Source organism: Homo sapiens, chromosome 5, assembly GCF_000001405.40.
Source record: "Homo sapiens chromosome 5, GRCh38.p14 Primary Assembly".
NCBI lineage: Eukaryota > Metazoa > Chordata > Mammalia > Primates > Hominidae > Homo > Homo sapiens.
In genome coordinates this window covers 90,741,506-90,769,455 of record NC_000005.10, presented here as the reverse complement: position 1 = coordinate 90,769,455, position 27,950 = coordinate 90,741,506, and the positions used below count along the sequence as shown (strand labels likewise).

Genomic DNA, 27,950 nt, shown 5'->3' with positions numbered 1-27,950 from the left:
AGGACCATTTTATTTTTACCAGCCTACAGTGATACTTAACAAAGTTTCTAGAAGTTACTCTGCTAAGAGAAAGACAAGAGAGGAAAGACATAATAGGGAGTACTCTTGGGACCAACAACAGTGGATGGGGCAGGAAGGAAACAGGAATGGGTAGAAGGCAAAGAGTCAAAGTGGGCAGTGAAAAAATAAGGTATATCATAAAAGACCAAGGGAAAGAGAGGGAGAGCTTTTCAGAACAAACTTCTCTTGAACGTGGCTGTACCCTGCATCTCAGTGGTGGATGCTCTGATGTTCACTAAGATTCCCCTTCTGGAAAGGACTTATTACCCTCATCTGACAGGCTCCTTTGCAAATTGTCTCATCTGAAGACAACCCCTTCTCACATGGTCAAATGCTCTTCCTGGCATGGTCCATACACAATGACTGCTCAACACAAGATTATAAAACTCACCATCATTCTAACTCAGACAGCTCTGAAGGGTCAGTCCCATTTCAAAACAAACTGTAGTATACTGTAGCATCAGTTTCAACTGCCTCATGCTTTGCCTTCATCCCTGCCCAATCTTGCTTCTTTCACTTACACAGGTGTTGACCTCAAGAGCACTTCCTAAAAAGCCTCTGGACACGAATCTCCACCTCATAATTTTCTCCCCAAGGAAGGTAAAGTGCAATATCCCCCTGACTCATCACCTATAGACCATTCATCAGTTCCGGAGAGTTGTATGTTTCTATAAACAAAGTATGGAGCTTAGTTGTCCTGCATAAAGTAGAAATAGGAAAGAAGGACTTTGCCCTGTTACCAAGGTAGGACTGAACAGAATTATTGTGAGAATTTCCCTGTAAGATGGGCAATGGTGACTCCACAGTCACTGCTACATTTTGAGAAAGTCCAGGAAACTATTATACAGTAAGTATTGGTACAACCTGGGATGTACCGTAGGTATAACAGCTTCTGTAGACTAGGTTTCCTTATTGCCAATGTGAATACTAAGTTGCTATGAGAACGATTTCCACCTGGGCATTATTGATGGAGTGGATACCACTAGCCATAAGTAGAACTGAGAGATGATGAAAGACATCCTCAAAACCAAATTAGAACCCGTGGGAGACATAGATCTTTGTATATATTCAGAACTAGACATATAAAAACAATGGAGCCGTTACACAGTTGTACATGAAATGTACCAGGCTGATGACCAAACAAGCAGATGGAGAGAGTGGAATCTAGAAACAACCCCATGCCTCCTAATGCAGTACTCTAAAAATGGATGAACTTATTCGCTGGAAGAAAAGATCAGACTATTTGCCATTTTAATGTAGATTTTATGCTCAAAACAAGAAAACCTTTTTAATCACCTGGGAAGTGTATCTAGCAGTAAGAATCTGGTAACTGGGAAATTATTGCTTCTTATTACTGAGGAAAATCTTTATAGACATTTGAAACTAATTTCTAAATTCTAAATGCTCCTCAGGTGAGAGGTTTTCAGATCATGGCTAGGGCACACAACCTAGATGTTTCATGAGTCATCATGTGTCAGAAGCTGAGAAGTAAACGGATGATATTCCTGCAACATCTTGATTGAGATTTAATACCATTAGGGTAATCACACCTCAAGAATGATGGCAGAACATGTGCATGGCAAATAGACTGCCAGAGGGCATCACTGATGACTTCCTTAATCACATATTGCAATACCGAAGGGAAAAAAGGTATTCGTTTCTGTGCTATCTCATGTTGAAGGCTCTGAAGAAGAGTCATTAGACTGAAAAAAAAAAAAAAAGTAAGACATGGACCATGTAAACATATTTGGTGGAATTCCTTTGGAAAACCACCTACTGAGCTTTTAATGTTTTTAATGTTTATTCTCCATTCATTTTCAAAAGTGCATAGGTTTAGACTTTCTATATCTGCTGTATATCTGCTAGAGCCAATTTCACATAGGTTTTTAAAATTTATTTGTCGACATTTATATAGTCTCTTACAATTTTCAATATTTTCTCTTTTAATAATTATTTCCTTCTCGTCAATTCTTATTTTCTAAGTTTTTTAATTTATGAATCAGGTTTTATTGGTATTTTTGTTTTTTAATTAATTGCATTCTGGTTTCATCTTTATTAATTTAAGAAAGCTGTTTAGGTATTAAGAAAGCTGTTTAGAATCAAACATGATTCTAAAAGCAAAAACTATAAAACGACTGACAAATCTGGACTATTTTCTTCTCTCTGGCCTGTTTGTTCATCCCAGAGCAAATATCACACTGCCTTATTTACTTTAACTGTGTATTATCTGACACATTGGCTAAGTAGGGCCACCCTCCATATTCTTCTTTGTGAGTTGCTGGCTATTCTTGGCATTTTGTATTTCCATGTATATTTTATAATCAGATTGTCTCTTCCACCTCCCCATCCTCCCTTCCAGAAAAAGACTTAGGAGTTTGACTGGTAAATACCACTGTCCTGTGGTTAGGTTGGAATTATTCATTAAAAACAACTCTGTGCTCAGCTTAACTGGGCCCCATATGCTGCTTCCCCACCTTCTTTTGATTATTAAAACTAGCCAAAGAAGGGAAAGAGGAGGAAGAAACTTGAGTGCACACAGGCAACCAGAAAAATCGCATCCTACAGTGGGTTGGTTGATACTCCAGCCAAGGTTCTCAGGCTCATGCTGATGAAGACATAAAGAAACAGATCTGTAAATGTCCGACCAAACTTTGAAAAGGGGAGTCATTCTTACAAGTTACAGAAACCAACTCCATGGGCCAAAAGATTATGTTCCCCCTTCAAAGTAGATAGGACCTTGCGCCTTCACTTCTTATCACTGTGGGAGGCTGAGACACATAAAGATGGACTGTAATATGCTTGTTATTCTCAAACTACTTATTGTGTTTCAGTTTTTTGATTGGCTGAAATACTTCCTTAATTTTTTTTCAAAGTGTACATGGATGTTAAAAACTACAAGTTTTTGTAAGTTTGACATTGTCTTATTATGTTACACCATCAGTATTTTGAGTCAGTATAGAAGTTCTCCACAGTCAGAATAGTCAGAAAGCACACTTAAAGGGAAAACTGACTAGACTTGGTAACCAAATACATGTAACGATTACAGAAAGGGTGCAGCTGGGGATGATATCCAGACATCCAGCGTGGTTGATTGGCTTTGCCTTCAATCAGAAGAGGAAAAATGTGAGAGAGGGGTAGTTTTGATGGGAAAACAGGGGCAGAATCTGAACTTAAAAATTTGACTATAGATCAGACACAGTGGCTCACGCCTGTAATCCCAGCACTTTGGGAGGCCAAGGCGGGCGGATCATGAGGTCAGGAGATCAAGACCATCCTGGCTAACACAGTGAAACCCTGTCTCACTAAAAAATACAAAAAATTAGCCAGGTGTGGTGGCGGGCGCCTGTAGTCCCAGCTACTCGGGAGGCTGAGGCAGGAGAATGGCGTAAACCCGGGAGGTGGAGCTTGCAGTGAGCAGAGATCGCGCCACTGCACTCCAGCCTGGGTGACAGAGCAAGACTCTGTCTCAAAAAACTAATTAATTAAAATAAAATAAAATAAATTTTTAAAAAATTAAAAAAAAAAACAGCCAGGCATGGTGGCACATGCCTGTAGTCCCAGTTACTCATGAGGCTAAGGTGGAAATGTTGCTTGAGCCGGGAGGTCGAAGCTTCAGTGAGCTATGATCGCATCACTGCATTACTGCCTGGGTGACAGAATAAGACCCCTTGTCTCCAAAAACAAACAAACAAAAAAAAAGAATTTGACATAGGTAACAATAATCTATTGTACATTTCAAAACAGCTGCAGAATAATTAGACTGTTCCTACCATAAAGAAAAAATATTTAAGGTGATGGATATCTCAATTACTCTGATTTGATTATATGAATGCATCAAATTATCACATGTACTCTGAAAATACGTATATCAATTATGTAGCAATAAAAACTTCAAAAAAAATTTGATTTCAGATATCTAGAGTTTGTGTGTGTGTGTGTGTGTGTGTGTGTGTGTGTGTGTGTGTGGTCTGTGATTTTTCCCCCCATCATGCATATGGATTTCCAAAAAAATCCCAGACATAGTAAATATTATCACATGAATTTACAAGTAATACTATGCAAAAGAAAATCAAAGACAGCTCTCGAGGTGTGGCCACACAGGGTGACTACAGTCACCATTCCCCTCAGCAGTGACAGCACAGTGCACAGTGCCCAGTGCCTCGAGCAGATGGCTCTCTAGGGACATCAGGTGCCAGTTCTCCTCAGGAAGATGATCAAAGTTACTGGTGAAAGGCCCAGTTCTGAACAGAAAACTGGGGGAAGAGAGCCAGGATCTGTCAGAGGGCCAGTGGGAAGAAGCAGGGTGTAGAAAAGGGAAGCAGCAAGAGTCCACAGAGATTGACCCCCAAGGAGCTTGGAGCCCCATGGAAAGTAGGTGGGAGTGCTTCTCTCCTCCCCTCACTCCTCTGACAATCTCCTGACTGCCAAGCTTCTAAGGAGCCCCTCTGTGCTAGTGACCCAAGACAATGCTATAAGTGGCTATTCAGGAACTTCCCAGGGACAGAGAACCAGGTTGCTAGCTTGTGCAGGCACACCTATGTTTCCCTCAGACCCAAAATGAGATGGAGGGTGCCATACTGGTTGTGTACCCATAGTGCCACTGCCCTGCCTGAGATCTCTCTGCTCTAGAGTCACTGTACCACCAGATCTCCTGCAAATATACCCCACAACTGGCTCTGACGTTGGGAAGCATGGGGGACAGGTGGGTCCCAGGGGGCTAAAGGACTTCTGAAGATCTAAACCCACAGTGTAGGCTGCCCATAAGGGAGGGGGAGCACAGCCCATCAAAGTCCCCTTGGGACAAAGGAAATGCAGGCATGGGGCCAGTCACTGAAGGGGGCAGCACCAATGCCTAGGGACAGTCGTAGAGAGGGAGTCATCTCCCACTCTAGACTGTTGCAGACACAGCTGTGGTTCTTCCCACTGGTACTTAGTGCATACACACAAAGAAAGCATTTTTTGTGTGTGCTTTTTTCAGTGGCTCAATCCCTGCTGAAAGTAAGCTTGTGCCACTTGGGCTTACAGGAAGAACAGGGCCCAACTCCCCGCCTTTAGACAGAGCAGCAGTGTCCCAGCAATGGCGGACAGACAAGTTGTGAAGTTGCTTGCCCTGGAGTTGGGGAAGAGGCCTTGCCCTGAGCCCATTTTGGTAACAGCTCCTAGAGGGGCATATCTGTGGCCTGCAGCTGCACTGCAGAGCCAAAGGACAAAGTCTTTATGAATTGAGTCATGAGTCCTGCAACACGGGCACGAGAGGGAAGCAAACTTCATTCCTGCTGGCTCAGGACTAGAAGTTGGTACACCCCCTTATCACTCCCCAAGAGACCCCAATACATTCCAACATGATCGCTTTTTACCATCCTTCCCTCCCTGCAGCCCACACCAGGGCAGGTGCTTCCACTCAACATCAGACATCAGTCAACCTATTCCCAATAGGAAGGGTATGGAATCAACTTTAGTGTCCATCAACAGTGAACTGGATAAAGAAAATGTTATAGATATACACCATGGAATACTACACAGTCATATAAAATAATTAAATCATGTCCTTTGAAGCAACATAGATGCAATTAGGAGCCATTATCCTAAGTGAATTAATGCAGAAACAGAAAATCAAATACCATGTGTTCTCACTTATAAGTAGGAGCCAGACAATGGATACACATGGACATAAAGATGGAAACAACAGACACTGGGGACTACTTGAGGCAGCAGGGTAGGAGTGGGGTGTGGGTTGAAAAACTACCTATTGGGTACTATATTCACTATTTGGGTTATGGGCTCACTAGAAGCCCAAACCCCAGCATTATGCAATATACCCATGTAACAAACCTGCACATGTGCTCCCTGAATTTACAATAAAAAGGAAAAAGAAAATCAAAGACAAATTGGGGAAAAATTACAGGAGTGCTAATGCTGACTATACCTCATCAAAATGAAGGGTCCCATTCAAAGGACTAAGGTTATGTTTAGCCTTCTCATCTATGGTCCACTCAAGTCGGACGGTTCCTTTTCCTCCTGGGGACCGGACAACCGTCAATGTCACATATGAATCAGGGTCATCGGATGAAAGGGATTCATCAATCATTACCTGAAAGAAGAAAATTCAGTAAGGCCAAACAAAAAAAAAAACAAAAAGAGCAGGATAAACAAGTAGAATCTTATTTCTGTTTACAATGACTGCAGTTTTATAATTTAGAATGTTACATGTAATTATCATGTGGCAGAAAAATTTTTTTTACCAAATCCCACTTTCTATTCCTAGATGCTCAACTAGTTGGCATTTCCTGTCTTCTCTTGCAATTAGGTAGAGCATGTGACTGAATTCTGACCCAGAGAATAGAGGCAGAAATGATTTATGCTGCTAATACTCTTGCCATAAACACCCACACAAGACCCCACATCCTCTACTTTTCCATTTGGCAGGTGAATAGAGAGGAGGCCCAGGACCTAGAAGAGGACATAACCCCAAGATGGACAGAGTCTAGGGCCTGAGAGCTGCCAGCTGAATAAGAGGTGTCCATAAGCATCAGCCAACTGGGCACGCTGGTGCAGGATTCCTGCGTGAAGAAGAAATGCACATTTACCATATGAAGAAACTGAGACTTGGCGGGATCTTTGTTACTACAATCAGGCTCCTCACATAATACAGACCTAAACTGTCCTCTGAATTATGGTGTACCTACTTTAGCGAGTCAAAATTTAAAAGTGGTTTTTATTAATCTGAGATAAAGAGAGGAGATTCAATACATTGATTTACCAGAACTATTTATTTTGCATACAAGTCCTTATTAACAGATCTAGTATAAGTGAAGTACATATGTTGACTCTGTGAAGCAAAGTTCTCATTGAACCTATATCATCCATCCGCTATACAAACAGAAAATATAACACAATGCTTTCCACTTTCAACACGGATAGAAGCTTAACATGCAATACAATCTTGTTTTGTTTTCTTCATGAGATTTGCATTGATGTCAACAGCACAGATTTAAAACAAACTGAAATGAGCTTCTATTGTGTGTCAGTTCTTACATATACCTTATCTTATTTAAGCCTCATAGAAACTCATAGAAATCTGAGGGCCAGATATATACATATATCTGGAGATGAGGAGCCTGGAGTCTAATTAGGGTATTTTGACTCCAAACTGTTCATACCACTCCTCAGGGACCAGTGAAATTTAGTAAGAAAAAAATAGAGAAAATCCATTATATAAGTCTTCTTTGATTCCATAGATGTAACATTTTAGTTTAGGTTTCACAAGTAGATTTCCATGGGTCTCTGCTATTCTCAGGGCTTTGGTATACTTAACCACATTGCCCTTGTGAACAGCTTGTTAATTTTGATGGATTTATACTAACAGTCTTTTCTCAATGTACCTCAGCTGTGAATCTAATCTGTGTCACCGAATAATGCTAACAGAATGTTTATTGTGTGCACAATATTGTATATCTTATTAAGGTTAAAAGATAAACTTCATGTTACCAAGAAACTTTTGTGATAGGAAAGACAGGATATAAGCAAGGAAAAAAGTCACAAAGGGCTGAGCATCATGCAGCTACTATTATCATCAACAATCAAAATAGCCATGGACATCTAATGAATTAAAGCTCAAGCACGCATGCTTTACATATTCAACAATACAGTAGGAATTGGGTAACCTAAATCTTCCCTTTAGACTCTAAGACAAATTGAAAATTTGTAGCTGTAACGATATTATTTCCCAGAACAAGTGTGCTTAACACTAGGTTTAAAACACTAGAGTTTATGACCGCAGTTACAATAAAATGAACAAAAATTATTTATGAATACTAGTGTAGGTCTTCATTTTCTCTAACAGTAAAAGTAGATTATAAACACACTGTCCAGTGCCCAAGTCCAGAAGTTTGATGAAAAACGTTATTGTGAAGTTTCATCAATTGAAGATTTGAATACTAAATGCTGAACTTGTAATCTAAACTTATAAGCTAAGAGACATTTTATAAAAAATAAATTACATATTCATGTGTAATTTTCTGCTGCTTGAGAGATATTCACAGTTACTCTTTTGCCAATCCAACACTCCTTACAAACACAGCTGCCCATTTTTTTTCCAAGGACGAGCTCATTGGGCTACAGTGAAAGTTTGTTCTCTCCCTCTTACAGGTCCCATTTTCTTATGAAATTGAAATTCAATAGCCAAATCCTTATTTGTTATATTTCAATTTTGGAGCATCAGGAAGTCCAGCCCTTGCAGGCAAGCTGTCAGTCTAGCCTTCCATCCACAGGACAGTAGACAATGGGCATTTCAGCAATTGGTTTATTAATTAAAAGTGATCTATGTGAATTACTGACAACCTATAAGTGATTAAATGAAGGGAATGGTGACATATGGGGCCGGAAAAGTTGCTGAGTATATGGGGATTATCTAAATATTTTTATGGCTAATTCATACCTTGGAATTTCTTTTGAAAGGTAAGGTCATAATATTATGTCATAGTTATCATGTAATAACAATTATGATGGAATTTATAGTGTTTTATACTTAAGATGTAGTGATAATTTAGTACTAGGTACCAAATATGGCTGCACAAATACTTAGTTTTCATGATTAATTAGCCTTTTTTTCTCTCTCTCTCTTTGTGGCTGAATCAATAATAATTGGGTTCCTTCTTTCAAGTCTTGGAAGTAAACAGCCAATGAGAAGTAAGAGAGAAGAAATATAGAGAAATACATGAGCTGGGTGGGGGGTGACTGTGGTGTTTTTTTCTACATAAGTCACAACAGACTAGCATAACAGTGGGTAATATAAATCCCTCACCAGATAAACCCATTGTGGGATGTAACACCCAGACCCATGACAGAATCCTGCCTGTGACCAGATTGGTGGTCTGGCAGTAAAGCAGGCAGAGAATAGGTGGTATGGATGAAAAGTACATCTTGATCTACTACAGCCAATAAATAGGAATCTGTTCCCCTTTGTAATTTCCTGATATTAAGAGCTCACATTACTATCAAACTGTGTGCACAGGCTGGAGGATTGGCCCTTAATTCAATAGACCACTCAAAAGATCCTTGAGAAGAGACTCATACATGAAGGGTAATGAAGACTTTCTTTCCTTTTTTTTTTTTTTTTTTGAGACGAAGTCTCACTCTGTTGCCCAGGCTGGAGCGCAGTGGCGTGATCTCGGCTCACTGCAACCTCCGCCTCCCAGGTTCAAGTGATTCTCCTGCCTCAGGCTCTCAAGCAGCTGGGACTACAAGCATGCGCCACCACACCTGGCTAATTTTTGTATTTTTTTTAGTAGAGACGGGGTTTCACCATATTGGCCAAGCTGGTCTCAAACTCATGACCTCGTGATCCGCCCGCCTCGGCCTCCCAAAGTGCTGGGATTACAGGCATGAGCCACTGCGCCCGGCCTTTTTTTTTTTTTTTTTTTTTTTTTTTTTGAGATGGAGTCTCTCTATGTCGCCAGGCTGGAGTGCAATGGCGTGATCTCAGCTCACTGCAACCTCTGCCTCCTGGGTTCAAGCGAGTCTCCTGCCTCAGCCTCCCAAGTATCTGGGAATACAGGCATGTGCCACCACGCCCAGCTAATTTTTGTACTTTCAGTAGAGACGGGAATTCAACCATATTGGCCAGGATGGTGTCAATCTCCTGACCTCGTGATCTGCCCGCTGCGGCCTCCCAAAGTGCTGGGATTACTGGCATGAGCCACCATGCCTGGCCAAGACTTCCAAAACAAAAATGTGAGACACTTTCTACTCAAAATTACATGAAACGCTAGCCTGAAACAAGGCTTTCCCCTGATATGTTTAACTTACAGTCTTTTCTTCAAATCCAAATACTCCAAATGGAGAATCATTTTGTGGAATAACAACAGTTACCACAACATCATCACCAAGTCTGCCACCTCCAGCAACACTGATCAAGGAAATATTGAACGTCTCTGTCAATTCAAATTCAGCATCATCAATTATGGTGATTTCTATCATTGCAGTAACCTATGAAAGAAAGGAAGGAAGGGAGAAAGAGAGGGAGGAAAAGAAGGAGGAAGATAGGAAATGAGGAAAGAAATAATGTAATCACAGTTTTTGCTGACATATATTTTAATTTTTTAGTTGAAACCAAAAATCTCAGAAACATGGTACTAAAAAGTAGTTCTTTTTGCGTATTATATTTGTAATACTTTTAAAGTTGTGTATATTTATGGCATGTATATTTATGGCATTTTAAAGTTGTGTATATTTATGGTATTTCAAAGTCAGAAATTTACAGTCTATTATTTTCAAGATAAAACATTATTGATGTGATAAGAGTATTATTTACAGATTAAAAACAATAAATCCTTATTCTTAAAATTTTTTTAATGTCATGCAGGTTCTAACACCATTGCACAAACATAAAATGCAGTATGCTTGGTATTAATATTACATGATATGAAACTTACATAAAAATTACCAGTCTTCTACAATTAAAATAAATCCCATTGGTTTCAAATATTGTTCTTGCAACGTAGTCAAAAAGAAAGGCAGAAAGAAAACCCAAATTTGCTATTCCTGGATGTTTATAATCAGGATTTAGTTCAATTTTCTGAGTCTATGTTAAAAGTTTTTATAAACTGATAAATAAATAAAACTTGATCCAGCTTGCAGTTTCACTATTGGTCATAAAAATATTCCAATGTTTCTGACAGACATTTATCAGAAAATGAAATTAAATCTACCTAAAATCTTTAATTTAACAACAGAGAAAAGTGAAAAACCTGGATATCACACTCAGACAGATAGAAACATGAATAAAATCAAATGCTCAAATAGAAGGTAATTAAATTGCCTGCACCTCAAATCTGTGCTGTAGAATACAGAGTCCCTTCCCTAGAGGATGTGAATTTTAAGAATAAGTAGGATCCTATGGATGCTGGTTAATGATGGAACTTGAACCTCATGCACAGATAAAGTGCTGATAATGTCATTAAAGTTGAAAGGCTGCTTCAATGAATAATCAATGTATTTGTTTCTGCTTTTAACATAAGAATCTCATTGACTTGCATTCCGGTTTTTTGTTTTTTGTTTTTTTTGAGATGGAGTCTCGCTTTGTTGCCCAGGCTGGAGTGCAGTGGTGCAATCTCGGCTCACTGCAAGCTCCGCCTCCCAGGTTCACGCCATTCTCCTGCCTCAGTCGCCGGAATAGCTGGGACTACAGGTGCCCGCCACCACGCCCGGCTAATTTTTTTGTATTTCTAGTACAGACGGGGTTTCACTGTGTTAGCCAGGATGGTCTCCATCTCCTGACCTCGTGATCCACCCGCCTCGGCCTCCCAAAGTGCTGGGATTGCATTCCACTCTTTTTACTTAGGAAATGTTTCAAGTTCTAAATCTGCTTTAAAAGCTCAGGATTTCAAAAATATTAACAATAATGGGTTTTTCTGTGTAGGAAAATCTACATCTGTATGCTTACCTTTTAACAGCATTTACTACCGCCCCCCATGAGCAACAAATAAGTTGACGCATACTCTGGTAATTTGTCTAGCCAAAATAAGGCTACCTGTAGATAGAGGTGCTAGTTAAAGTTACTAACATTTTCATGGTTGTTCATATGCCTTTTCCACTTACTGATAAAAAAATGGTATGAAAACATCTTATTCTTACATATTACAAAATGCCAAGTTTACAAAATTTGTAATTCTTGGGGAATGTTTTATAATATTTAAGACTGGTTAGCCTAAATCTAGAATATTGTTTTTCAATTTTTCAAGTTTTAACTATTTTGTTCATTTTCTCTTATTTTAGTCAATTTTTTTAATTATAAAGGGCATTTTAGATATTAAGTAAAAACTGTCCACACTTTTAGTGCAAATTCTAAATAAATATCTATATTTACTGGCATTAAGAAACAAAATAAAAGATAAAAGAAACTAAAGTCCACAGGAAGAGTCTAGTTCATCAGACAGTTTTCTATACATTGTTAGGCACTTCTAAGTCAATTATTATCCTGTTTTGTAACTTCTATTTATTTTAAATAAAACTGGGGCGGGGGTTCAGAAAAGGGTAAGATTGTTGTATCTTTATAAGTCTCTTCCTATGCCCATTAATAAATTGTATTTCAATTAATAATATTTGTTTGACTTAACATAGAAACATTTAGAGTATAATGCATTTAGCAATCACCAATGTACATTCATTTGATGGATGCCTACAAAATGTCTGAAGCACAACTCAAAAAGGCTAATATGTTAATGACTGGCATACCTGTTTATCTGCAAATTCAAGAATCCCATGAGATGGTTTAAAGTCTTCCAGGCCAGCACTGTCTGGTGATGCTTTCCAATAAACATTTACTGCCCCAAAGCTTCCAGCCAGCCGGACTACAGGAACTTGAAGAACGTTCAAGGGTGGAGGCACCTCATAGGCAGTAATAACTTCCCCAGCGCCCTTTAAGTAAAGAATATAATTGAAAGGCAAGATAAAATGGTAACTCTCATAAGTCATCTTTCTAAAGTTATTGTTTCTACTTAACTTTCTATATTTCACCCTTTAAAGTAGAAATTAATAGTCAGATATAAGTATGCATAAAAGGTCTTCTGAACTCTTATATTTAATGAAAGTAAACTTGTTGAATCCTTTGGTCTAGCCCAAAGAGACCTAAGAATTAGTTTATAAGACAAATTTGGTTATTTATCTATTTAAAAATAAATACAGGCAAAGCTAAACATAAAACACTGGCCAAATCAGCAGGGAGAGGCCTCTGTATGACTGTAAACAAATGAAAGTTCATCTCACTCTAGTAACATGAAACATAAAAATTCCTCTGGGATCGTCATTTTCTTCTATCATTATCTCAGCTATTTCCATTCCGGGCCTCCGCACACTTGGCTGTCCTGTAGAGAAGTCAGAGTTCACCAGGTTCACCTCAGTGATAGTGACAATAAATCCTTCCTCCAATTCAGGAAGGTCATCCTGGGGGATGGGGGAAAAAGATGGTGTTTCATTTTTTTTTAAGACATTTAACTTGCATTGAATACTTGATATTTTTCAGTAAGGAAATAATTGACTTTGTTCACAGGAATGGGCAGCTCTGTCAAACATAAAAAAGATTCTTGTTATATTTTAATACATTCCCACTGACCACTTCAGAATCTATAGAATATTCTAGCTCACTGGTGATGTTTCAATGGAATCTTCACACTCATTAGCAAATAAAATAATTTTTAAAAATCTATCCTGAAATTTTGACCATATTCTATTGTATGTTTTACATATTTAATATCCCAAAAGAAAATTTAGGAAACACTGGTAAATGCTACATACATTTTTAAAGCAAAAGCTCTAGACTTGAAAATCTAGATATAAGCCTATATTTAATTTTTAAAAATTTCTTACTTTGTTTTTGCATAATGAAAAATTTCCAGAGATAAAAAATACTCTAAAAAGGGGGGGAAAACCCTCATTTCTATCCCATCCCTTATATCTTTCCCAAATTATACTCTTCAGGAGATACTATTACCTAAAACCACTAATACCACTATTAGTAACACTAACATTATATAATATCATATTTATTTAATAACATATAATATATTCTATGGTATATAATATATAAGATTAATACTATTTATATAATATAAAACAACATTTTGTTATTATTTTATAATATTATTAACACTAATCCACTATTAAAATTTCTTGTGCATCATTACTGATATAGTCACATATTCTCCCCCTCTCTTTCTCTGTTCTTCTCTCTCTCTCCATACATACATGGATAAATACAGATAGCTAAAACCAGATCTAAACCATCTGAAGACTAATCTTGATTCAAGTAATCATATCATGAAAGGAAAATACTGTCCTATTAAATGAATAATAAAAATAACCAGATTGATTTGGGCATTTCACTTGTTGTCATTAGTTTAAAAACTGACAAAACAAAATTACAGTGGATCCAATCAGATATAATTAATCTAAATTCAGTGCTTCAAAATTCATTCAAACAATATTCCAGTTCAAGAATAAATACAAGTAATAGACATCATTTTTGCCAGCCAGTTATAAAATATTATTCATTATTAAATACTTAGGTGGGTGGCAACAGTAGAATACTTACATTTTTATGTTTAAAAGAATCCTTTTATTAAAAAAAAGATTTTTACTTACAAGAGCATCACAATTTTACTTAAGAGAATTTTCCTCTATTTTAGATCACATTCTTTGCAGCCTTGACTTACCGGCAAAATGGAAACTTCGGCATGAGCTTCTTTTATGTTTTCTTTCATTATTATTATTGTTTCTTGCAATACATAATCTTCATTCTCAGTAGCTTGATTATCGACATGCAGTAAGAAATTGGGTTGAGCTCTCAAGTGAATGGCAATATCCCCAAGTAGTCCTTTATCTCGAGCTATTTGTAACTGAAGAGTGGTGGTGTTTTCTGTGAGAGAAACATGCCACGAGTAAATAGTCTTTTCTATTTGCTGTCAATGCTGTTACAAGGACCTAGAGTGGAACACTCTACTCTATCCCTTGTAGACAGTTAAGGAAAAAGAAGTAAAACAAAGACAATGTATACTCCCAAGGATCATTCTGGGCTTGGTCTTCCTGGTCCCCAAAGTTGGGCAGAGAATCACCATCCACTCCTAGCATTATATCCCAGTTCTAATCCCCCACTTCTGATTCTCTAAAGCACCCTCCTATGTTGCACATGTCATACACTTTAACAGAAATTGCTGCAAAGTCTTAGGGAAGTACAGATATGCAGGTTGAACAGAGATGATAATTATAAAGGCTCAAAAGATTCTTCAAAAAATGAAAAATTATATATACAAAGTCATTTAATGACTAATCATTAAGAGTGATTTTGTTCTTACAGTGACGTGCCTATCAGGAGGCTCAAAGTATTTCACAGCACCTAACTTTTATTTCATTGTTTAGATTTTAAAAACTTAATTTGCCATATTAAAGACCCAGGAACATAACCACATGTTGTATTTTTCCCATTGACTATTCAAATGAAAGGTACTTGAAAGCTGGATGTCCATGTTATTACGTGAAAATCTTAGAACCTTCACCAGCAGCTAATATGAATAATTATTTGGGTGATGATTTTAGTACTCAAAAGAGAAATTGACCACTGTACACTTCACAGGATAAAATTATTCTAATTACTATTTTGGATTAAACAATTAATACCTTTAGTGCCATGTACACATTTCATTGTGTTGCTCATTGTTCTCTGTAACTAGTGAAAATCTATAGAAAATATAGCTGAGTGAAGAAAGAGAACAGATGAATGATGAAAAAGATAAAGTAAAATAAAAAACAGTCACCTCTACTGTACTCACAACTAAAATATTAATATTTCTAATATAATGTATCTTTTAAAAGACACATTTCCTATAACATTACTGCTAGGTAATTTCACATGATTACCAGATTTAACAACAATAAACAAAAAGGATTGAGTATGACCTGCCAAACTGAAAAAGTCATATAAAAAGAGAAATTTACATTCCTTATAAATATTAGAATTAAATTATCCAATGAAGCTTCTCATTAAAACTTGAAAGATATTTAACAATATTTACCTTTAGGCTCTGCTACTCTAATGAAGACAGACGCAGCACGCCAGCCCACCAAGCCAAAAGGTGAGTCATTGGGCAAAGTTGTTATAACAGACTTGCTTCTGTCCTGATCAATAGTAGCACCTTTGTATGAGTCCTCAACCCCTTCTGTGGTGATACGGGTGAGGGTTACAATCACAACCTCTGATAACTCTGGTATATTATCAGCAAGAATAGTTAGAGTGATTGTTGACAGTACCTGGCCTTCAGTAAATAAAATCTAGAATTTTAAAGAAAGAAGATGTTATTTATTTTGTAATTGTCACTATGTAGTAAGAATATTTTAAAAATTGATTTTCTTTTATTAAACCTATAACTTAAATAGCAAGAGATATTTAAGCAACATAATAATATGATTCTACAAATCAGATGTCTTTCATATTAATGGAAGATTGTTAGGAAAAAGGAAGAGCAAACCATTTATAAACTTTAAGCTAATAAAAAAAAATGCAGCCAAATTGTCAAATACTGGAGACTGAATTCCATTCTAAGATAAAGTATACAGTCTCTCTGGGAATCTAAGTTCTAGATACCATATACAAAGATCCATAAAAGTAAAATAAGGTGGCATACTAGCTTAAAGATTTTTCTCTGCAAAACTTTTGCCCGGATTATTTCCTTTGACTAACTCTGAACAGATGTATCACTAAGCAATGAATCAACTAAAACACAGGTGGAGAGAGAAAGATAGGGAGAGATACAAATCATAGCAACTCTCTTCTCCTTTTATGTCTCTCCTGTCTAAAGAGTCAAATCCAAATTTGCTAAAAAGCATGGAAGACCTTGCTGATAGGACTTCTTGAATGCCATTTTTCACTGATTCCCACCTCACACACCACTCTCCAGCAATGCAGCTACAAACTATTTATAATTACTCAAACTAGCATTATAGGCTGATGTATCTACCTTTGCTGACATTCGTTTTTCCACCTGGAAAAGGCAATGGAGAATATAAATTCAAAAGCTCTATTCAGTCTATCATTGATGGACATTTAGGTTGATTCCATGTCTTTGCTATTGCGAAGAGTGTTGCAATGAACATACATATGCATGTGTATTTATCATAGAATGATTTATATAACTTTCAGTATATACCCAGTAATGGGATTGCTGTATTGAATGGTATTTCTTTCTTTAGGTATGCAGCCATAAAAGAAAAATGAGATCATGTCTTTTGCAGGGACATGGATGGAGCTGGAGGCCATTATCCTTAGCAAACTAACACAGGAACAGAAAACCAAATACCACATGTTCTCACTTATAAGTGGGAGCTAAATGTTGAGAACACATGGACGCATAGAGGGAAACAACACACACTGGGGCTTATTCAAGGGTGGAAGGTGGAAGAAGGGAGAGGATCAGGAAAAATAACTGATGGGTACTAGGCTTAAGACCTGGATGATGAAATGATCTGTAGAACAAAACCCCATGACACCAGTTTACCTATGTAACAAACTTGCATAGGTACCCCTGAACTTAAAATAAAAGTTAAAAAAATAAATTCAAGAGCTTTATTAATAAAATCAGAGGTCAGAAAACTACTGCCCAATGGCCAAACCCATTTGTCACAAATCAAGTTTTACTGGAACACAACCAAGCTCATTCAATTGCATATTGTCTATCGCTGCCTATATTGTCTGCTAATATTGCTTATATTGCCTAGCACAATTCTACTACAAAGGCAAAGCAGTAGTGAAAGAGACCAAATGGCTCACAAAGCCTAAAATATTTACTATCTGGCCCTTTACAGAAAAAAGATATACTAGCTCCCTGAATGAAATAATTAATTCTTCCAAACTATAGTCTATGTTTAAGGTACCATTATATATTTAAATTAGAAATAATTGTAATCATGTTTATATAAGAAATGATAACTGGAGAAACACAAATCAGAACATATAGAACCTGACAGACACAACTTACAGTTCTGGTAGCTTACCTAAAGTAAATATTAAATGCAATAGAATTTGCTATAACATTCTTAATATACAGAAGCTCCAATCACGTTTGAAATAATACAGAAACCTAGAAATGATGAACCATGATATATACCTGTCCTTTTTTTGAGACAGTTCCATGAGAGTTCCTTTAAAAGAACTCTTCAGAGAAGCATTTGGGCCATATACACAGACTAATCTATGAAACCAAAGGCAAGCCAAGAAGACAACCCATCTTCCAGCTAGGAACAAAAGGCTCTCTGATCCCTCTTGTTGTTAATCATGTACTTATTTGGCTCATTCTTATTCCATTCTTGAACCTCAGCTCCAACTTTATACTATTCTCCAGTAATAGATAATCTCGTCGTCTGCCCAGATCCCTTCTTGGGGCTGATGTACCCATCCCTCGGCTGCTAGGAACAACAGGTTCTGTGCTCCTCATTGGGAATCACCCTTTCCTACAGCAAACTGTCTCACTCAAGGTTATACCCAACCCTGAGGGTGGCCTAAAGCCAAGGACTGCTAAAATGGGGATATCAATAGCTTAGCTCTAAACTGGGAACAACTCCTAAGGACCAGCTCATCTCCTGAACTCAGTTGCAATCAACCTCAGTTGCAATTGCCTGTGGATCAACTTCTCCCTCTGCACATCCTCACCTTCCTCACATCCTCATAGATGTATCTCCCCAAAATCCTTCTGTCCACAACTCTCAATCTCAGAGTCTATTTACAGGAAGCCCAACCTATATCACTCCACAACTCAGATCTACTTTTTCATAAGTCCGACTGTTTTACACAGACTTGTTCCCTACTTACTACTTCCATTGTGCCTAAACCTGGAAACCACATTTTGATCCTATTTGGTTAATTTTATCTTTCTAACAATGTAATGCACCCACAATGTGGCCAACGAATGTACTGAAACTCAGAAAGAATGACTTTTTAAAGGACAATTTTGGTTTTATATTTTTTTAAAAAAGAACAATACCCACAACCAGAAAACTAACCTTAAATTGTATCCCTCTCTACAATGATTAGTAGGAATTCAGTGTTGATATGGTCAAACTCAAACACTTCATCCATAAGGCAGGATTTGGTCCCATACATCACTAGTAACCATAATTTAAAAGTGTTTCCTATAACTTTGTAAATTACATACCACTCCTGAGGTAGGAAATATATCACTAATACTTCCATCAGCTTCCCATGCTATGGTTATACGGCCATATGTTCCTTTTAAGCGTTCAACGTTCAAGGTTACTAGGCTATCTTGCTCCATTTCTTCCACTTGCTTATATAATGAATTCTGAAAAAATACACAGAAAGTCACAAGGGGTTCCCTGAAATTACCTAATCAGACTTCTTTTTTTGTCTCATGTTATTATGGATTTGCAAACTTTGTGGTCCTAAGCAACATGACATAGTAAGTGAAAACGACAATTAAAAAACAGTCATATAGAATGACCATGATTTAAAACACACATGTTTGAATAAGTAACAGACTAAGTGAAAGTAAGCAAAAATGTTAATTATTTTAGGATTATTTTATGTTTCTGTTTCTATATTTTTCAAATTTTGTTCAGTGAACATATATTACATTCATACTCAGAAAGCGTGTACTTTTGTAAAAGTATTCATAGCATGTAAAAAGTTTGTAGAAGAGAACGGATATAGAGTCAGGAGAGTAGGGAAGCCTTTTTCCTCTGTGTAACTTCTGGCAATCCCACTAGGTCTTTGTTTCCTATTTGTAAAAGAAGAGCTTGACCTATATGGTTTCCAACATCCCATCCATGCACAACGATGTCATGAGAATTAGAGCTTTCTCCTTGATCACTGGCAAATGTCTCTTATTCTTAAATTCATATCCTCGGAAATGTTTCTGTGGGCTCTTCTGCCTCCTTTGATGGTGTTTCATCCTTAGCTCATGGCCTTTACAACTGTTTTTTCCTGCCTGAAATATCCCTTTCCCTTATGATAGAATTACTTACTTTCTTTCTTCTTATCTATGCTTCCTAGCCTCTTTCTTTTGTCCCAAACTAATTATCTGTTTCTGTGTGACTACACCATTCTTCACCAAACATACACAACGTCTCTTGTCAGCCATTTCATGAACTGTTCCTCAAAATGAATGCTTCAAAGAATCTCTTCTTACAATACCCCTGGATTTTCCATATGCAGTAAAGCAAGAATATGGAGTGTAAAGATTTTTGAAAATCTTCCCATTCAGGTCACTATGATAACCTGAAAAGAGATTCCCCCATTAATTTCTTAAAACTTATGAGAGCTTTTACTTAGAATGCTAATTTGAGTAGCGATCCTATCCTTTAGCAATATTTTACACAGCATTTTAACACATTGTTACAGATGTTACATAGTAATAAAATCTTGCTCCAGGCAATCAAACATTCCTAAATAAAATGCCTTGATTTTAAAATATGCACATAATTTATTCACAAAAGACAATGCCTTTTTAAAAAGCCAGCTCTCTCTGGCTCCATGCCCTCCATCAATGAGGGTTAATAAAATGAGCACTTCATGCAGCCAGAAAATATTCAAGAAATTCTCATTATCTGCTATATCTCATTTTGAAATGAGATTGTCCAGACATCAAAGACCTGTAATGAAGAATTCTACTGAACAGATTGAAAGAATTCAGTATCTATTGGCAAGTATTGAATAACAGTAATTGTATGTCTCCAGAACAATTTTGGAACAAGCTTCATAAAGGGAAATCTACCATTCTCAAACAGTTGAGGAATAGCATGTGCTCTCCATCTGCTGCAAGGCTGCAGGGTGAGAAGATGGAACCACACAGCAGAGCATGTCGGTTCTCACCCCAGGAAGCCCAGCTCTGCCCTATAGAGTTGTATAAGGCCTTGAGAAGGCCTTGTAAGTGTTCTGCCTCTCCCACAGAATGACAGGTTCATCCTAAGCCCCTAATGTGTGCCAGGCACTTTTCTGGGTGCAGGGATAAAGCTGTGAGCACAGCAGTATACCAGCTCTCATACTCTTCAATTCTAGTTAAAAAAAAAACAAAAAAAAACTTGATGATAGACAAACTAGGCAATTATAAGTGTCATGAAGAAACTTTTTATAAGGATAAAAAGATACAGAATGATGGTGGGGAGCTGCAATTTTCCATCAGTGATCTTTCTGGTAAGGTATCATTTTGCAGAGATCTGAAGAAAGTGAAGAAACAAGTGAGTACCTAATAAGAATAGGGTCCTCTTGTTTCTTTCTAACTCTCCCTACTCAAGACCCAGTTCATGTCTTAGGGTTGCCTTCTCCTTCACAGTAGCCACTGGCCACATGTGGCTATTGACCAGTTGAAATGTAGTTAGTGTAGCTAGTCTATAAGTGTAAAATGCGCACTAAAATTTGAAGACAAGATATGAAAAATGTAAACTATTTCCTCAATAATTTTATGTTGATTGTATGTTGAAAAAATATTTCAGATACATTGGGTTAAATAAAATATATTAAAATCAAGTGACCTGCTTCTTTCTACTTTTTAAAAAATGTAGGCTGCTAGGAAACTTAAATTTACATATGAGGCACACATTATATCCCTATTGGGCAGAGATGCCTCAGAGGAAGCTGATCTACTACGCTTAGCTCCAGGAATGGACCAGATTGAGTAGTAGTGTAAACTTCTGACCCTTGCATGCAACAGACACAAGACTTTAAGCACATCCAAAACTCCTCATCTTATCCCCTAAACCTGCTCTTCCTATAGTCATCCATATCTCAATGAGCAGCAAATTCATGCTTCCCATAGCTCCATCATTTATTACTGTAATAATTCCTAACTGGTCTATTTCTGTCCTTGCCCATTTACAATCTATTCTCTATACTATGGTCAGAGTTGTTCCTTCTAAAATGTGAGTCAGATCATTCACTTTTCTACTCCTCCCCTTCAAAGGCTCTCTAATTCCCTCAGGGCCCAAACTCATTACAATGCTAATGGGCTTATGCAGGAAAGTGTTCACACAGCAGACCTGACTGCTATCCTTAAAGGCTTGTTCACAGGTCGGCTATCCGCTGGTGTCTGGGAACTGGAATTTCAGGAGAGTTCCCACCATTCTGGAACTATTAAGTGGCTCCCAGTGCCTAAACTGTGTAATAATTGTGGTTTATGCTGAACATTCATTTCTTTCTGAGAGTCTAGAATTTTGGTATGTGCCAGGCAGAGGGTGCCTGCATGATCAGACCCCAGTTAAAATCCTGGGCACTGAGTCCCTAGTATGCTTCCCTGGTTGGCAACATTTTATACATCTTGTGACAACTCAATGCTGGGGAATTAAGTGTGTCCTGTGTCAATGGATGGGGGTGGGAGGGGGAATCTTAGAAGCTTGCCCTGGCTTCCTCTGGACTTTACACCCCATGAGCTTTTTCCCTTCAATGATTTTATTTTGTATTCTTTGCCGTAATAAATCATAGCCATGGATATGACTAAATGCTAGGTCCTGCGAGTCTTCTTAGTGACTCATCGAAACTGTGGGTGGTCATGGGGATCCCTGACACAGAGCCCTGGCCCTGCACCTGTTGAACCTCATCCCCTATCACATGCAGACATCAGCCACAGTGGCCTCCTTGTTGCTCCAGATGGGCAGGGCTACACTGCAGGGCCTTTGCTCTTGCTGATGGGTCCTTCTGCTTTAAATGTTCCTACCCCAGATATTACATAGCTCACACCCTCATCCCCCACCAGTCTTTGTCATTCTGTCATTTCCTCCAAACAGCCCTTACTGATCATCCTATTTTAGATTTCCCCACATACAACCTCCACTCCCTCCCTTGCATTCTCCATCTGCCTTCCTTGCCTAACATTTCTTCATAGTACACTCATCACCATCAGATATAGTACATATTTTCTTATGTCTGTGTTTACTGCCTTTCTCCCCTTGCCCTCTCTAGAATTTAAGGACCATGAAAATAAAGAATTTTACCGTCTTATTTTCTAACATGACTGTAGCATCTGAAACAGTATCTGGTACCTAACAGGCATTTGTTAAATAACTGCTGCATGAATTAATGAATGAATGAGTGAGTGGGCTTGTTACCCAGTTCTGGACAATGAGACATAAGCCATTTTCTAGAGTCTTTTGGGAAATGTCTTCTTTACTTTGAGAATCTCATAAAATATCTCTCTCTGCCCCAAATGAACATGAGCAGAACATAGTAACCTTAACAATAACATCAGCTTTCAAACAACCAAATGAAAGTCAATTTTGTGATGGCAAAGTAGAGAGATGGAAACAATCTAAGCCAAAATGACATGGTAGAGTATCCAACTAACCCCGAAGCTCACTTTCTCTGAGGACATGCTCTTGGTGTGCAGGCAAACTTGGGTTAGGTTTTCCTCATATGAAAAATATTTCAGAGAAAGATACATGATAGCTGCAGCTATAACTCAAATTAAGAAGTAAGAATTCACTTTACCAAAAGGACTAAATGATGCAAATAATAGATGTCCTTTTGCTTGCTGATAAAGAAATATGAAATCTGGGCACGGAAGTAACTTAGGATTTGCATGGTTCTCTTTCCTCAGGAAGACATCTACATGTCCAACATACATATAATTACAACCCTCTCTCTCTCCTCCACCCTCCCCCCACCCCACCTCTCATTCTCTTCCCCTCTCCACAGAAGTAACAAAGCATAATAGGATAGTAATATATTTGTATGTGATGTGTATATCACACAGTATATATTGCATTTAGCATCTATTTCATCCTTTCTCTCTGGTAACAGCTAACAGCAGAGCCAAACTTTCAGACCAAGATCAACTTGTAACATTTCAAAGTCAATCCTATAAAAGGAATCTGAAAATAAAATGATTAGGACAAGTTGACTCAGAGTCCAGTGTGTAAGACTGTAAATTGCAAAATGTCAGTAGAATTCACCCTAGAATGCACATAAAAGGGAGGCAGGGGAAAGGGAAGGGAGAGAGGCTGATGACACTCAAACTATGACTTGCTGAGTGCTAATAATAGCTAATACACAAATACAATAAATAAAACATTTTGCATTGCAAGTGTGGGGTCTTCAGTATCATTACCTGAGCAAATGCAACAATTCCATAGGCATCATCATTAGACAGAATGGTTATTGTTACAGAATCATTAATGCCAATCTCTGCTCCTCCTTTGGGATTTTTAAGTTGAACTTTGAAGGATTCTTCTTTTTCTGGAACTGTATCATCAAGGATATTTACTGCTATTGTAGCTTCTCTCTCACCAGGTTCAAATATCAGTTCACCTGAACTACCATAAGAAGCATATACAAAATAAGTCAACTACAACAAATTTAAGATATATACATAGTAGACTACTCATTACATTAATTGATATTAAAGGTTTGGAAGAATCACAACATTTCATAACGAAAATTTTAATCCAAAATATTCATGTAATACTGATAAACTTGATAGAATAGATATTAGAAACATGGATAATAACCAAATTTCAGGCTGATAAATAGCTCTTATATTTTGTATATTTTTCAGTCACCAAATAATGACTTGGAAATGAGCTGTCATACAAAATTACAGTGAACATAAAGATACTTAGCAAAAAATGTTGAACCTACCTAGGAATAAAGTCAGAATGGCTGGAAATGTAGGCTAGCTCATATATATGTGAATGAGCTCCCACTAGAGCTATTAAATTCTTGCTTGAATTAAGGGACTTTACTGTAACAGAAGCCACATCATAAGCAGAAGGTACTTCCAGAACAAAAGAGAATTGATTACGCTCCGAATTCCAGCAGTAAAGAGCAGACATATCTTGGCCAATAAGAAGTATGTGGGCTGCAGGAAGGAAAGAAAAAACAACTTGAGTGAGATATAAACTGTCACCTCCCACACTCCCTGCATCGGTTCCAAAGCAAAATCTTCCAAAATCTCAAAGTTCCATTGTGATTTCTGAGGTAACTAAATATACTTCAATTTCTGAAATAACTGGACGTAAATAATAATTTTTTAAGTGCTTTAGAATGATCAAGCCAGCTTGATGAGGTTTCCATACCCATTTAATAAAAAAGAAATTACTGGCTGCTAAAACCGAAACTAATTTTAAACTCTTTTATATTCATCTTAATATTTATTAGATAGCATATTAGGATATTTTAAAAAGTGAAACATACTCATAATCCCATCATGAAATGCTTCATTTTCCTTTCTAGTTATCATTCATATGAATTCATAATTGACACAGTTATAAACAGTATAAATACAAAAAACTCTTAATTAACAATATTACACCATGTCCATACTATTACAGTTTTCTGTTTCTACACAGTTTTCAAGTCTATGATTTCAGTGCATAGATAATATATATGGTTGATCAAAATATATTTAATAATTTCCCTACATTTGATATTTGTTATTGTATATTTAATTATTAAATATTAAGTAGAGACAGAATTATTCATGTTAATTATCTTCACTTGATAAATTCTTCAAGTTAATTAATTAGGCCAAAGGATATGAACAAATTTATGACTCCTAAAGTATATTCTTCCAATGTTTTTGAAATGTTATCAGGAAACCATACTTTTGATAGTTCAAAGCAAGGCTGGGTGCAGTGGCTCACATCTGTAATCCTAGCACTTTGGGAGGCCAAAGCAGGAAGATTGCTTGAGCCCAGGGGTTCGAGACCCGGCAACATAGTGGGAGCCTGTCTTTACAAAAAACAAAAATTAGCCAGGCATGGTGGCAAGCACCTGCGGTCCCAGCTGCCTGGGAAGCTGAGGTGGCAGGATCGTTTGAACCCAGGAGGTCAAGGTTGCAATGAACCATGATCATGCTACTGCACTCTACCCTAGGCAACAGAGTTAGATCTTGTCCATATGTATATATATATATCAGTTAATAGGGTTGCTTCTAAAAAAGAAGTAAAAAATAGCCAAAGGACATATTTATATCTACACAAGTTAAGAAGGAAGGGGGCTTACTATATTATATACAATACTAAATAATTTCCAGACTTAAATAAAACTGGGAGAAAAAATGAGAAATCATAGAAAAACATGTACAAATTCCAGTACCTAGATAAACACATTGGAACATAAATATATCAAATGAGGCCGGGCACGGTGGCTCATGCCTGTAATCCCAGCACTTTGGGAGGCAGAGGCAGGAAGATCACGAGGTCGGGAGATCGAGACCATCCTGGCTAACATGGTGAAACCCTGTTTCTACTAAAAATACAAAAAATTAGCCGGGCATGGTGGTGGGCACCTGTAGTCCCAGCTACTTGGGAGGCTGAGACAGGAGAATGGCGTGAACCCAGGGGGCGAAGCTTGCAGTGAGCCGAGATCGTGCCACTGCTCTCTAGCCTGGGCGACACATTAAGACTCCATCTCAAAAAAAAAAAAAAAAAAGATATCAAATGAGATTGGTTAGATATTAAAATAGCACCAAGAATAAGAACATATGAGCCTCTTCTACAATTTTAGCCCATAGGTTACAACGGAAAGCCCCATATCCTTACTCTTACATATCAAGAACCACTGTTCGTGCTTATTTATAGTAATGGACTTAAATACTATCACACTTCAGCAAACGTTGCATAAAAAGTTAAGGCAGTCAATAAAAAGGCTATCAATAAATTTGCATTTTAAATGGCCATATATTTTTCATCAAGTTTTATAAAACTGGAGACACTGAGTAAAAAAATTAATTCAGGGGCATCTCAACATCTCTGAAGTTTAAAATGAGCTGATTCAATAGTCTCAACCAAGATAACCTCTGCCTGTAGTAAAATGACCTTCTGTACTCACGGACTTCCAATGTATATCAGCAAACCAAGACCCTCCTCTAAACTCTATAATCAGTAGTGCTTACTCTGCATGTGAATGGCAAACTTAACATATTCCAACCAAACTCATTTTCTCTGCCCCTAAAAGCCTGGTCCTCTCCCAAGCAATCACCACCACAAAAGTTACAGTACTACCATTCACCCACCAGTTGCAGAAATTAGGGCTCATCTTTGACATCCTCTTTCTTGTCTCCCTCCGTATCTAATCTATCACCAACCCCCGTGGTTTTACTTGTGAGACATCATCTGAATCAATCTACTTCTCTAACCAGCATCACCTACCACTTTCCAAGCTTCATCTTTCAACATCTCTAAAGAATGCGCCTCCAGCTCTTTCTCAGACATCTTCTCTTCTAACATTTAAGTTTTTCCTCCATGGCAGCCACACATGCATGCACACCCGTGCGCACACACACACATGCTCTCTCTTTCTCTCTGCCCATCTCTCTATCTCCACCTCCCCATCACCTCCTCAAGAAAGGCATCTCAATACTTTTAGGATAAAGACCATAATCCTTTAAGTCCCTATCTGATTACATCTTCAGTTAAACCCAGTATCACTGTTCCCTTACTGTCTGTATTTGGGCCACATTGGTCCCTTTCTAGTTCCCTAAAAGCACATGCTCACCACCACCACCTGACCTCTCTTTGCCTAGAGCTGATCCATCATCAACTCTGCCTCTTCAACTCCTACTCAACATATAATTCTCAATTAAATGATTCTTCCTTAAGTAAGTTTTCTGGGCATCTCTTAGACCAGGGCAAGTCCTCTCATTTTGTAGTATGAAAGTATTCTATCCTTTCATAGCAGTTATCCATTTATAACTAGAAACTTATATGTATGATTATACATAATATCTCTCTTCCCTGCTACTTGTAAAACTTCTTCAGCGCAGGGTTTATATGTAGTTTTGCTTACCCTTGTTTCCCCAGGGTCTATCAATGTGCTTGGCACATAATTGCACTTAAAAATATCTATTAACTACTAAAGGAGAAAAGGGTGAAAGCGAAGATAAGTTTGTATGTCCTTGTAGTCTTTGTCATATTCATTCTTCTTCTTCCATTTAAAGAATTCAGTCACCACCCAATAATCTCTGTCAAGTCATTAACCAGAATAAATATGTGATCCTCATGGTTATAGCTCCAATCTAATACTTTTAATAAAATATTTGACACATTCAAAATAAGAAAGCCCTTGAACATTATTTAATGCATAATTTCAGCTTTCAGGAGATCTATAATAAGCCATTCTAAATAATTACCTACAATCTTTTCATACTTCTACAGCCTCAAGTCACAGAAACAAAAGAAATAAAGAGACCTCACAATGGGTCCTTTAATAAGTCTCTGGCAGAATTTTTTGCAAATTCTTTTAGAAAGTATGCCTATTATATATTTTTTAAATCTTTAAAGAGAATTCTATAACTTTAATTAATGGCCCTTCAGGCAGCACTCATCATCTTTAAAAACATTCATTAGGCAACTATTTTGAATAATAATAAGTGACTCAAGGAGACATAGTTAGTCCA

At 37.5% G+C, this 27,950-nt stretch overlaps 1 protein-coding gene across 16 annotated transcripts in view; it reads right to left on the bottom strand.

Moving 5' to 3' along the window:
• Nucleotides 1-27,950, bottom strand: part of ADGRV1 (adhesion G protein-coupled receptor V1) — a 605,641-nt gene that overhangs the window by 394,982 nt on the left and 182,709 nt on the right. For 14 of the 16 annotated variants that reach the window (NR_003149.2, XM_017009963.3, XM_017009969.3 and 11 more), the window contains 9 exons: nucleotides 24,191-24,410; nucleotides 23,661-23,865; nucleotides 18,759-18,905; nucleotides 15,627-15,882; nucleotides 14,271-14,473; nucleotides 12,826-13,002; nucleotides 12,295-12,477; nucleotides 9,868-10,047; nucleotides 5,987-6,151 (listed from right to left, as the gene is read on the bottom strand). Coding sequence is in view for 15 of the 16 variants with exons in the window: in XM_017009963.3 (XP_016865452.1) it covers nucleotides 5,987-6,151; nucleotides 9,868-10,047; nucleotides 12,295-12,477; nucleotides 12,826-13,002; nucleotides 14,271-14,473; nucleotides 15,627-15,882; nucleotides 18,759-18,905; nucleotides 23,661-23,865; nucleotides 24,191-24,410 (1,736 nt within the window). In the remaining variant the exon portion in view is untranslated. Of the gene's footprint in view, nucleotides 1-5,986; nucleotides 6,152-9,867; nucleotides 10,048-12,294; nucleotides 12,478-12,825; nucleotides 13,003-14,270; nucleotides 14,474-15,626; nucleotides 15,883-18,758; nucleotides 18,906-23,660; nucleotides 23,866-24,190; nucleotides 24,411-27,950 lie in introns of those variants that run through there. The other 2 variants (XM_047417825.1, XM_017009974.3) reach the window with 2 other exon arrangements.